Below are 14,733 nucleotides of genomic sequence, written 5' to 3' on the forward strand. Positions count from 1 at the left end.
GCATCAGATATTTAGAATAAACAAATCTACAGACCTAATGTGTAACATGAGGATTATAGTTAAAAATATTGCATTGTATTTGGGACTTTTGGTGAATGAATAGATTTTAGCTGCTCTTGCTACACACAGATGAAAAATGGGTAACTATATGTGATAATGGATGTTAATTTGCTTCACTATAGTTACTATTTTACTACCCATATGTATCTCATAACATCATGTATCTCATAACATCATGTGGCCCATACCTTAAATATATACAATAAAATTTATTTTAAAAATTAGTAGGAAAGAATGTCACCTTATTCATCAAAAGTTACTCATGCCTATATATCTTAGTACTGTATAGATTACATAGTCACTAATACTTAAAGAAAAAATTACATAATTACAGTAAATTATCAATGAAAAATAGAAGAAAAGCTAATACACTCATCCTTCCCATCAAGGCACTACATTTTTCCATCTTTGGCCTGTTTCTTGCAGTTTTTTCTCTCAGACATCAATTACCTTGCCTTATCTGCAGATATCAAAACATTAAGAAGAATTGCTCTTCTAGGGACCAAAGCTAACAAAGTAATCTATAAAGATTTGTGATATATTTTACATGCCTTTTGTGTTCTGCAGCCTGTCCTCCTTAGGAATAAGTTGGGGAAAAATGATAACAAAAAGATACTAAGGGTCCAAGAACAAGAAGAGAAGTACATTGAAGAACATTCAATTTGGTGAACAAAAATAACCTAATCATTACGAGCATACAATATTATACTAGTAATTACATGTGTATCTAAATGTATATTTATGAGAAAAAGGGAAAGTAAAAGTGAATACAGCTCAGAATTTAATAGTTAGAAATGAGCATTCATTCAGATGCTGTCCTCTGATAAGCTCTTAATATTACTAAAAATTTCAAGCTTAGGTGAACCAAATTATGACCAGAGAAACCATTAAACTTACATACTGAAAAATATATTAGTTATCTTAATTTTTGAATTAAAATTATACACTATTTGCATCTCAAGACTTTGTATCTTATTGAATATATTATAAATAATAGAATAAGGCCTTTGTCTTGTTTAGAAATTTCAGGATTAATATATTTCACTTTTTAAATCATAGTTTAGAACCTTTGAAAGTTTGCTATAGGCTCAAATTTACTGCAAAGACTCTCACCTGGTAATACTCTGTCAAACGTCAAAAATGACTGAACTAGAAAATAAAACAATATTTCACACAGTAAGTTTACAAACAAGTCAAGTAGATTCCAAAGAAACTATTTAATGGAAGCATTTGGCTTTTATATGCTGCAGTTGGGAAAGTACTGATTTGTCATTGTTAAAGTTTCTCTAGCTTTATTAATGTTTTTAATTTTTAGATTTAATTCTTATTTTTACTGCAGTTATATACTTAATTTAAAAATAAAGTTTATGACTATGTCTCCTGAAATATTATAGTTTACTATTAAAAAAATGATCTTATAAAAATGCTTTTGATTATAATGATAGTGAATGTTCAAACTTAAATCTGACATAGCTCAGCAATGGCATAAAAGTATGTTTACATTGCAGTACATATTTTTCTCTGTTAAGATCCTTATTATTCATAGGGATAAAAAAAGGGGAAACTGATAATGTTTAAATTAATATAAACACATTAAAGAGCCATGAAAAATGGTCTATAAAGGAAATGACTCTATGATTACTCTATTGAGATACTTCTCAGAATTCTATAATTCAATTTCATTCACACATTATGAATTAAAAATGCATATTAATTTATTCACCTTGGGCTTTGAAAAATGGCAAGAAAAAATTTCCCAGCCATTAGCCTTTACATTTGAGTAAATTCAAAATTTCTTCATTTCTTATGTTTTAATAGACTGACCACTCTCTAGTTCTATCACACATTATCTTTTTGCAGTACTGTTCGGAATAGTTATTTAGCTTCCAAATAAATTCCCACTTTTTTTTTCACTTTAAATATACAAACAACCTTCTTATAAAAATGTGAGCAAAGGACATGAACAGACACTTTTCCAAAGAAGACAGACACGTGGCCAAAAATCATGTAAAAAAACAAAAGCTCAGCCAGGCACGGTAGCTCATGCCTGTAATCCCAGCACTTTGGGAGGCCGAGGCACGTGGATCATGAGGTCAAGAGATCAAGACCATCCTGGCCAACATGGTGAAACCCTGTCTCAACTAAAAATACAAAACTTAGCTGGGCATGGTGGTGCACACCTGTAGTCCCAGCTACTCGGGAGGCTGTGGCAAGAGAATTGCTTAAACCTTGGAGGAGGAGGTTGCAGTGAACCGAGATCGTACCACTGCCCTCCAGCCTGGTGACAGAGCAAGACTCCATGAAAAAAAAAAAAAAATGCTCAACATCACTAATTAAATGCAAATCAAAACCACAATGAGATACCATCTCACACCAGTCCAAATGGCTATTTATTAAAAGTAAAAAAAATAAAAAAAAAAATAACAGATGCTGGCAAGATTGTGGAGAAAAAGGAATGCTTATACACCATTGGTGGGTGTGTAAATTAGTCCAGCCATCGTGGATGGCAATGTAGCAATTCCTCAAAGCCTTAAAGACTGAAATACCACTCGACCCAGCAATCCCATCACTGGGTACATACCCAAAGGAATATAAATCATTCTATAATAAAGACCATACACATATATGTTCACTGCAACACTATTCACAATAGCAAAGACATGGAATCAACCAAAATACCCAGCAATAATAGATTGGATAAAGAAAATGTACATAGACACAATGGAATACTACACAGCCATGAAAAAGAACAAAAACATGTCTATTGCAGGGACATGGATGGAGCTGGAGGCCATTATCCTTAGGAAACTAATACAGAAAAAGAAAATCAAATACCACATGTTCTCACTTAGAAGTGGAAGCTAAAGGATGAGAATAGCTGGATACATAGAGGTGAACAACATGCACTAGGTCTATTGCCTATTGGAGGGTAGAGGGTGGAAGAAGGGAGAGGATGAGGAAAAGTAACTAATATGTACTAGGCTTAATACCTCAATGATGAAATAATCTGTACAACAAACCCCCAGGACAACAGTTTACCTATAAACCTGCACATGTTCTCCTGAACTTAAAATAGAAGTTAAAAGAAAAAACATATTTTAAAAGGTGAAAAAAAAGAGAGAGAGAGAAAGGGAACTGAGCATATGAGTGAACAAAATGGGAAGACTGGACTGAATTTTTTTTGTGTACTTTAAGTGCTGGAACCACGTTGAATTTATCATTTATATAAAAGTATAATTTAAAAGCTCAAAGTTAAAAATCAAAAGAACAAATTTTCTGTAAGGCTAAATTTATCCAATCTTCATTTATTTCAAAGGTTCTTGTTTTTATAATGGTGATAGTTGATAGTAGATACTGTTTTTGATTTTTATTTAATGTATTTAGTTTTTTAAATAAAAATAATTTATTAAAATTAATAAAGCATATATTAACATTTCATTTTGTAAAACATAAGTGAAACCTGAACTCAAGTACTGAGCCTTAATACTAAACTCTAAAGCACATGGTTTTTAGATCATTTCTACTGTTGGGAAACCTTTTTTCCTTGAATTTGTGTTTATAATAATCAGGTTAATTAGGTTTCTGGGACAGGAGTCTTAAAAGTAATAGAAGGGAAACAAAGATACACAATTCATATGACAATTTGTAATGTAAAATATATATAATAGATTAAAGACAAGAAATAATTATCTGCATTAGATTATAAGAATGGTACCATTGCATGGTATCTTCATTTAAAAAATTGTAGTCACGTGCTGCTGTGATTTCTCAAATATAGTTCTTATTATTAATCCAGGACAAATAACTCCTGGTTATTTCTAAACAATGTAAAATGGCAATGTAGTATGCCAAATCATAGCACTAGGAATATAATTCATGGTACTAAGCATTAATAATAAAAACAAAATTCTCGAGCTCGCTGGCAAGATGGCTGAATAGGAACAGCTCTGGTGTGCAGCTCCCATCAAGATCAACGCAGAAGGCAGGTGGTTTCTGCATTTCCAAATGAGGTACCTAGTTCATCTCATTGGGACTGGTTGGACAGTGGGTACAGCCCACAGCAAGCCAAAGCAGGATGGGGTGTCAGCTCACCCGGGAAGCACAAGTGGTCAGGAGATTTCCCTCCCCTAGCCAAGGGAAGCCATAAGAGACTATATCGGGAGGAACGGTGCACTCTGGCTTAGATACTGTGCTTTTCCCACAGTCTTCACAACCGGCAGACCAGGAGACTCCCTCTGGTGCCTATGCTACCAGGGCCCTGGGTTTCAAGCACAAAACTGGGCAGCCTTTTGGGGAAGCCACTGAGCTAGCTGCAGAAGGTTTTTTTTTTTTTCATACCCCAGTGGCACCTGGAATGCCGGCGAGAAGGAAGCATTCACTCCCCTGCAAAGGGGCCTGAAACCAGGGAGTCAAGTGCTCTGGCTCAGCAGGTCCCACCCCAACGGAGCCCAACAAGCTAAGATCCAGTGGCCTGAAATTCTTGCTGCCAGCACAGCCATCTGAGGTCGACCTAGGATGCTCGAGCTTGGTGGGGGGAGGGGCTTCGGCCATTACTGAGGCTTGAGTAGGTGGTTTTACCCTCACAGTGTAAACAAAGCCACTGGTAAGTTGGAACTGCGTGGAGCCCACTGCACCTCAGCAAGGGTGCTGTGGCCAGACTGCATCTCTAGATTCCTCCTCTCTGGGCAGGGCATCTCTGAACAAATGGTATCAGCCCCAGTCAGGGACTTATAGATAAAATCCCCATCTCCCTGGGACAGAGCAACTAGGGGAAAGGGTGGCTGTGGGGGCAGCTTCAGCAGGCTTAAATATCCCTGACTGACTACTCTAAAGAGAGCAGCAAATCTCCCAGCACATCGTTTGAGCTCTGTTAAGGGACAGATTGCCTCCTCAAGTGGGTCCCTGACACCTGTGTATCCTGACTAGGAGACATCTCCCAGTAGGGGCTGACAGGCATCTCATATAGGCGAGCTCTGGCTGGCATCTGGCTGGTTCCCCTCTGGGACGAAGCTTCCAGAGGAAGGAACAGACAGAAATCTTTGCTGTTCTGCAGCCTCTGCTGGTGATACCAAGGAAAACAGGATCTGGAGTGGACCTCCAGCAAACTCCAGCAGACCAGTAGCAGAGGGAACTGACTGTTAGAAAGAAAACTAACAAACAGAAAGTAATAACATCAACATCAACAAAAAGGACGTCCACTCAGAGACCCCATCTGAAGGTCACCAACATCAAAAACCAAAGATAGATAAATCCACGAAGATGGGGAGAAACCAGTGCAAAAGGCTGAAAATTCCAAAAACCAGAATGCCTCTTCTTCTCCAAAGGATCACAACTCCTTGCAGCAAGGGAACAAAACTGGATGAACAATGAGTTTGATGAATTGGAAGAAGTAGGCTTCAGAAGGTAGGTAATAACAAACTCCTCTGAGCTAAAGGAGCATGTCCTAACACAATGCAAGGAAGCTAAGAACCTTAAAAACAGGTTAAACGAATTGCTAACTAGAATAACCAGTTTAGAGAAGAACATAAATGACCTGATGGAGCTGAAAAACACAGCAAGAAAACTTCATGAAGCATACACAAGTTGCAACAGCCAAATCGATCAAGCAGAAGAAAGGATATCAGAGATTGAAGATCAACTCAATGAAATAAAGCAAGAAGACAAGATTAGAGAAAAAAGAGTGAAAAGAAATGAACAAAGTCTCCAAGAAATGTGGGACTATGTGAAAATACCAAATCTAGGTTTGATTGTTGTACCTGAAAATGATGGGGAGAATGGAACCAAATTGGAAAACACTCTGCAGGATATTATCCAGGAGAACTTCCCCAACCTAACAAGGCGGATCAACATTCAAATTCAGGAAAAACAGAGAACACCACAAAGATACTCCTCGAGAAGAGCAAACCCAAGACACATAATTGTCAGATTCACCAAGGTTGAAAAGAAGGCAAAAATGTTAAGGGCAGCCAGAGAGAAAGGTCGGGTTACCCACAAAAGGAAGCCCATCAGACTAATGATGGATCTCTTGGCAGAAGAGGGTGGGGACCAATATTCAACATTCTTAAAGAAAAGAATTTTCAGTCGAGAATTTCATATCCAGCCAACCTAAGCTTCATAAGTGAAGGAGAAATAAAATTCATTACAGACAAGCAAATGCTGAGAGATTTTGTCACCACCAAGCTTGCCACACAAGAGCTCCTGAAGGAAGCACTAAACATGGAAAGGAACAACCGGTACCAGCCACTGCAAAAACATACCAAATTGTGAAGACCACTGACGCTATGAAGAAACTGCATCAACTAATGGGCAAAATAACCAGCAAGAATCATAATGACAGGATCAAATTCACACATAACAACACTAACCTTAAATGTAAATGGGCTAAATGCCCCAATTAAAAGACACAGACTGGCAATTTGGACAAAGAGTCAAGACCCTTCGCTGTGCTGTATTCAGGAGACCCATTTCATGTGCAGAGACACACACAGGCTCAAAATAAAGGGATGTGGGAAGATTTACTAAACAAATGGAAAGCAAAAAAAAAAAAAAAAAAAAAAAAGCAGGGGTTGCAATCCTAGTTTCTGATAAAACAGACTTCAAACCAACAAAGATCCAAAGAGACAAAGAAGGGCATTACATAATGGTAAAGGGATTAATGCAACAGGAAGAGCTAACTATCCTAAATATATATGCAACCAATACAGGAGCACCCAGATTTATAAAGCAAGTTCTTAGAGACCTACAAAGAGACTTAGACTCCCGCATAATAATAGTGGGAGACTTTAACACGCCACTGTCAATATTAGATGAATGAGACAGAAAATTAATAAGCACCACATCACACTTATTCTAAAATTGACCATATAATTGGAAGTAAAACACTCCTCAGCAAATGCAAAAGAAAAAAATGATAACACACAGTCTCTCAAACCATGGTGCAATCAAATTACAAGTCAGGATTAAGAAACACACTCAAAACTGCACAACTAAAGGAAACTGTACAACTTGCTCCTGAGTGACTGGGTAAATAACAAAATTAAGGCACAAATAAAGATGTTCTTTGAAACCAATGAGAACAAAGACACAACAGAATCTCTGGGACACATTTAAAGCAGTGTGTAGAGGGAAATTTATAGCAATAAATGCCCACAGGAGAAAGTAGGAAAGATCTAAAATTGACAGCCTAATATCACAATTAAAAGAACTAGAGAAGCAAGAGCAAACACGTTCAAAAGCTAGCAGAAGACAAGAAATAACTAAGATCAGAGCAGAACTGAAGGAGATATAAACATGAAAAACCCTTCAAAAAAATCAATGAATTCAGGAGCTGGTTTTTTGAAAAGATCAACAAACTAGATACACCACCAGCCAGACTGATAAAGAAGAAAAGAGAGAAGAATCAAATAGACACAATAAAAAATGATAAAGGGGATATCACCACCGATTTCACAGAAATACAAACTACCATTAGAGAATACTATAAACACCTCTACACAAATAAACTAGAAAATCTAGAAGAAATGAATAAATTTCTGGACACATACACACTCCTAAGAATAAACAAGGAAGATGTCAAATCCCTGAATAATAACTTCTGAAATTGAGGCAGTAATTAATAGCCTACCAACCAAAAACGTCCAGGATCAGATGGATTCACAGCCAAATTCTACCAGAGGTACAAAGAGGAGCTGGTATCATTCCTTCTGAAACTATTGCAAACAATGGAAAAAAAGGGAAACCTCCCTAACTCATTTTATGAGGACAGTATCATCCTGATACCAAAACCTGGCAGAGACACATACACAAAAAGAACATTTCAGGCCAATATCCCTTATGAACGTCGATGAGAAAATCCTCAATAAAATGCTGGCAAACCGAATCCAGCCACACATCAAAAAGCTTTTCTACCACGATCAAGTCAGCTTCATCCCTGGGATGCAAGCCTGGTTCAACATATGCAAATCAATAAGTGTAATCCACAAAGAGGAGCTGGTACCATTCCTTCTGAAACTATTCCAAACAATGGATAAAAAGGGAAACCTCCCTACCTCATTTTATGAGGACAGCATCATCCTGATACGAAAACCTGGCAGAGACACATACACAAAAAGAACATTTCAGGCCAATATCCCTATGAACATCGATGAGAAAACCCTCAATAAAATGCTGGCAAACTGAATCCAGCCACACATCAAAAAGCTTATCTACCACGATCAAGTCGGCTTCATCCCTGGGATACAAGGCTGGTTCAACATATGCAAATCAATAAGTGTAATCCATCACATAAACAGAACCAATGACAAAAACCACATGATTATCTCAATAGATGCAGAAAATGCCTTCAAAAATATTCAACAACCCTTCATGCTAAAAACTCTCAATAAACTAGGTACTGATGGAAAGTATCTCAAAATAATAAGAGCAATTAATGACAAACTTACAGCCAATATCATACTGAATGGGCAAAAACTGGAAACATTTCCTTTGAGAACCGGCACAAGACAAGGATGCCCTCTCTCACCACACCTATTCAATATAGTATTGGAAGTTCTGGCCAGGGCAATGAGGCAAGATAAAGAAATACAGGGTATTCAATTAGGAAAAGAGGGAGTCAAATTGTCTCTGTTTGCAGATGATGTGATTGAGTATTACCAAACCCCATCGTCTCAGCCCAAAATCTCCAGAAGCTGATAAACAACTTCAGCAAAGTCTCAGGATGCAATATCAATGTGCAAAAATCACAAGTATTCCTATACACTAATAACAGACAAATAGCCAAATCATGACTGAACTCCCATTCACAGTTGCTACAAAGAGAATAAAATACCTAGGAATACAACTTACAAGGGACGTGAAGGACCTCTTCAAGGTGAACTACCAAACACGGCTCAAGGAAATAAGAGAGGACACAAACAAATGGAAAAACATTCCATGCTCAAGGATAGGAAGAATCAGTATTCTAAAATGGCCATACTGCCCAAAGTAATTTATAGATTCAATTCTATCCCCATCAAGCTACCATTGATTTTCTTCACAGAATTGGAAAAAAACTACTTTAAATTTCATATCAAACCAAAAAAGATCCCACATAGCCTAGACAATCCTAAGCAAAAAGAACAAAACTGGAGGCATCATGCTACATGACTTCAAACTATACTACAAGGCTACAGTAACACAAACAGCATGGTACTGGTCCCAAAACAGATATATAGACCAATGGAACAGAACAGAGACCTCAGAAATACCACCACACATCTACAACCATCTGATCTTTGACAAACCTGATAAAAACAAGCAATGGGGAAAGGATTCCATATTTAATAAATGGTTTTGGGAAAACTGGCTGCCCATATGCAGGAAGGTGAAACTGGATCCCCTCCTTACACCTTATATAAAAATTAACTCAAGATGGATTAAAGACTTAAATGTAAGATCTAAAACCAAGAAACTGTAGAAGAAAATCTAGGCAATACCATTCAGGACATAGGCATGGCAAAGACTTCATTACTAAAACACCAAAAGCAATGGCAACAGAAGCCAAAATAGACAAATGACATCTAATTAAAGAGCTTCTGCACAGAAAAAGAAACTATCATCAGAATGGGAGAAAAATTTTTAAAATCTATCCATCTGACAAAGGGCTAAAATTCAGAATCTACAAAGAACTTAAATTTACAAGAAAAAAAAAAAACATCAAAAAGTAGGCACAGGATATGAACAGACAATTCTCCAAAGAAGACATTTATGCAGCCACCAAACAGATGAAAAAAAGCTCATTTTCACTGGTCATTAGAGAAATGCAAATCAAAATCACAATGAGATACTGTCTCATGTCAGTTAGAACTATGATCATTAAACGTCAGGAAACAACAGATGCTGGAGAGGATGTGAAAAAATAGAAACGCTTTTACACTGTTGGTGGGAGTGTACATTAGTTCAACCATTGTGGAAGACAGTGTGGCAATTCCTCAAGGATCTAGAACTAGATATACCATTTGACCCAGCAATCCCTTTACTGGGTATGTAACCAAGGGATTATAAATAATTCTACTATAAACACACATGCAAACGTATGTTTATTGTGGCACTGTTCACAATAGCAAAGACTTGGAACCAACCCAAATGCCCATGAATGATAGACTGGATAAAGAAAATGTGGCACATATAAACCATGGAATACTATGCAGCCATGAAAAACATGAATTCATGGCTTTTGTAGGGACATGGATGAAGCTGGAAACTATCATTCTCAGCAAACTGACACAAGAACAGAAAACCAAACACTGTATGTCCTCACTCATAAGTGGGAGTTGAACAATGAGAACACATGGATACAGAGAGGGGAATATCACACACCAGGGCTTGTCAGGGGGTGGGGGCCTCGGGGAGGAATAGCATTGGGAGAAATATCTAAAGTTGATGGCGGGTTGATGGGTGGAGAAAAGCACCATGGCATGTGTATACCTATGTAACAAATCTGCTTGTTCTGTACATTACTCCAGAACTTAGATCATAATAAAAAAACACCCAGAATTCTCCCTTTTTTCATTTCAAACATGTTGTCTTACATTTCTAAATATATCTTCAATATGTTACCTTTTATTCTACCTCCATATTAGTATTACAATATTTAATTCTCTCTCTGGCATTTGATGGCTTTAGCTCTCATTCCTTTAAAGAAAGTTGAAGTCAGTGGATTATCCATACTGTATAAGCAGTTTCCATATTAATAATCAGTAGTAGTTACACAAAGTTTAGACAGAGGGCATTCGATGTGATAATATAGACTGCTGTATACAATATTCCAGATTTACAACTCAACAATTTTAAATACAAACACATCACAATTTTTTAAAATCATGTATCTAATCATTTGATGCTATGAAAATACATGAAAGTATGAGAAGTTTTCATGTTTTTATCCTCTTGACATATTAGACACAATTACTTGAAGAATATCTAAATTATTGGTTAACCTGGTATTAAGGAACAATTTTTTTGGAGTTGAAATGCCTTTTCCAAACAAATTTTTATTTTTATTTATTTATTTTAAAACTTATTTTAAAATCTATTTTTGTATGTGTGTGATTTTTTATTTAAAAAATTATTATTTATTTTATAGATATATAGTAGGTATAGATATTTGTGGGGTATATGAGATATTTTGATACAGACTTACAATGTGTAATGATCACGTTAGGGTAAATGGGGTATCCAGCACCTCAAGCAATCATTATTTCTTTGTTCTATGAGCGTTCCAATTTTACTCCTTCAGTTAATCTAAAAGATACAACCAATTATTGCTGACTTATAGTCACCCTGTTATACTATCAAATACTAGATCTTATTCATTGTATCTAATTATATTTTTGTGCGTATTAACCTTTCTTTTTACTTTTGAATCAGTAAAGTCCTTTCTCTTTATATTGTTATTGCCACTTCTGTTTTTTAATGGTAGTCTTTGCTGTCTACTGTAACTGATTTAGCCCAATTTAAGTGACTTTTTAGATTAGTGTACTTTGAAAACCAATAAAGTTGGTTTGGAATCAATTAAGAAATAGTCAATTGGTATTACAAAAACAACTTCAATAGTTTCATCTTTATTGTAGATTTATTATTTATTTGTTTTTGAAATCTATCTTTTTAGCTACCTATCTTACTAATAATTAGGTAAAAGTTTTAGAAATGTAAAAAAAATGAGATTCTTAAATCTAGCAATACCAATTGATTAAATCAATGGTTTTCATCCTGTATTATCTGAGGAACCTACGTTTTCTGAAAGAACTTCGTTTAGCAGGAGGAGAACAACTGTGAATAGGGCTTCTGCTCCCATGTTACTAAGGAACAATTTTACTTGTACATGCTCTCGATATTGGATTTCTGCATCAGATTTTTTTAAAACAAAGCTTCTATTGAAAAACTATATATTAAATTAGGCTAAACCTTTTATGAGAGAAAAATTTCTGAAGATATGTGTGTGCATGTGTGTGTGTATGTGTGTGTGTCTGTGTGTAAATACAGGCAATCTCAGATGGATGGATGGATGGATGGACGGATGGATGGATGGATAGACAGATAGATAGACAGACAGACAGGAAGACAGACATTTCCCCTTAAATTACAGAGAATATTCCAGTTAAGCTGCCACAAGACCTTTCTTCCCTGCTGCTGCTGCTGTTGTGATGTATTCTTTTCTCAGTTTTCCTCATCATTGTGCCTCATCCCCACCTGGCACTCTTAATTTGCCTTGCAGTTCCAAGTTATTACTTGGTATCATTTTCCTGACACCTGAAGAGCTTCCTTTAACACATCTTATAATATAGTTCTAATTAAAGCACATTCCCTTAGGTTATTTTTTGGCCTAAAAATGTCATTAATTCATACTATTTTGAGTGACATTTTTTGTTGGATTTGGAATTCTGTGTTGAAGGGTTTTTTTGTTTTTTAAAGTCAGCACTTAAAAGATATTGTTCCATTGTCTTCTGCTTTGCATTGTTTGAGATGAGAAGTCAGTGATAAATTTTTTATTAGGTTTTATTAAGATTATTAGATATATTGTTTGATATTTTTCTTCAAATCTGGACAATTTTGTTATTATTTCTTCAAACAGTTATTCTGTTCTTATTTATCTCTCCATCTTTTGGAACTCCAGTTACTTGAAATTTTTATCTGTTTAGGTCATTGAGTCTATGGGTTGTTGAATCTCTGCTCATTTTTTCCCCACCATTTTATATCTTTCTTTCAGCATAGTTTCTACTCCTGTCAAGTTTAATGGTCTTTTATTCTGCAGTGTGTAATATATTGTTAAACAAACATAGTTGAGGTATTATATTTTTATCTTTAGATGTTCTACTTGTTTCACTTTATTAGTTGACTTTTTGTTATTTCTATACTAGATTCTTATTTTTTAGTTTCCATTTTTCTCCTATTTTTCTTCAGTCCTTAGACAAATTGATAATGACAATTTTAAAGTCTTTTACGTTGATCATATAATCTCTATGATTTCTTTCCTTACTGGTTTTCTTTGAGTCATTTTTATCCTATTGGCCACAGTTTCCCACAAATTTTTTCCATATTTAATCATGTTTATTGAATTTTGGACATTGTATTATTACTTTATTTTGTATTCTTCCAGATTTTTCCCTGTATTCCAATTATTTATGTAAATAAGATATTGTAGTAGCAATTACTCATTCATGGCCAGAAAACCTATATGCTTTTTAAAAAATAAATTCTACTTGGCTTGTAACATAAAATAAATATGCTATTTTTAAACGAAAAATTCCACATGGCTTATAATAATGGAATGAACAGTTTCCAGTACCAAACCCTTACTATTACCCTGATTCCCTACTCAAAAAAATTTTCATACTATTTCATAAATTTATTCTGTTATTGACTTTCAAGTTTCTAAGTAATATGTTCATATTGTTGTGTATTACCTTTTAAATTTAACACATTTTTACTTGGCTTAGCGTTTATGCTTCAATGATTGCCCAACTTTACAGATATAAATCCCTCTTTTTGTTATTCAAATACTATGAACACTTATTAATTTTAATCTTTTAAACATTTACAGTCTCTCCACTATCATGTTTAAAATTTACTTTATTGCTCTCCTATGGTGAATCTACTCTAAACTGAATTCTATATGTTACTCAGGCTTAGTTTATTCATTTATTGATATATTCATTGATAATATAATCAAATTTCATTAGTACCAGCTTCAAAATGACTGGAGTATTTGAAAGCTAATAAATAATATAAGGCTGATGTAATTTAGTCCTATACTTTTTTAGCCACAAGCTAAAAGTCGAAAGAATGTGAGTGATATTATGGTGAGTAAATTAATGACTTTAATAAATTACACGTGGGCCATAAAGGAGAAAACAGAAAAATAAAGAAGTAGGATATTCCATGCTATGAATATTTATTAAATGCCTACTAAGTATTTATTAGTTTCTCATAAATCATTCCAAGGCTTGGGAACTTGGAAAATAATAGATCAAGAAAAAGAGAGAAATTGGTAGGAAGTGCTGATTCTAAGGCCATATGGATGAACTTGGATGTTAATGTAGTGTTTCTGATGTTTAGTTGTTATATAGACTAAGAAAAAATTGGATGGTAATTATTTGTTGTCTATAAGGCCAACTATCACATGTTAGTCTATAAATATCTTAAATGTGGGACTTTAGCAACTTAGTGACAAAACAACTATATAAATATAGGAATACTTTAGTTCACAAAATTTGGTGATACTTAAATCAATTTTATTTTACTTTGATCTATTCACCAAGTCATATGCACTTTGTAATATTTATGTGGTTCAAGTGGACATAGTCTACATGTAGAAGTAAACTAGAAAGTGGGTTAAGTCAAATTCCCCATACAAATATAAAATTTATACATGGATTTAACAACTATTTACTAAGCACATACTCGGTAGTAAGCACAGGGTCACCATATATGGTTATGCAAATTGTTCATTGACAAAGAAAGTCTAGCTGATAAAGTGGAGTAGAGCCTGAAAATTAATCGACATTTTTTCCCCAAGCTGTCTGCTCAGAAAAGGTGTGCTTTAAAAAATCTGTAAACCTAGAGGGTTTACTTTTTCTAATTCAAACAAAATCACCATATAGCATATGTGGGGCTAGGTGTTGGTGCAATATCATG

General features: G+C 35.1%; 1 protein-coding gene across 2 annotated transcripts in view; it reads right to left on the reverse strand.

Moving 5' to 3' along the window:
- EYS (eyes shut homolog) overlaps positions 1-14,733 on the reverse strand; it is a 1,987,247-nt gene that overhangs the window by 587,620 nt on the left and 1,384,894 nt on the right. The gene's annotated exons all lie outside the window — the stretch shown is intronic.

The sequence above is a fragment of the Homo sapiens genome, chromosome 6, assembly GCF_000001405.40.
Source record: "Homo sapiens chromosome 6, GRCh38.p14 Primary Assembly".
Lineage (NCBI taxonomy): Eukaryota > Metazoa > Chordata > Mammalia > Primates > Hominidae > Homo > Homo sapiens.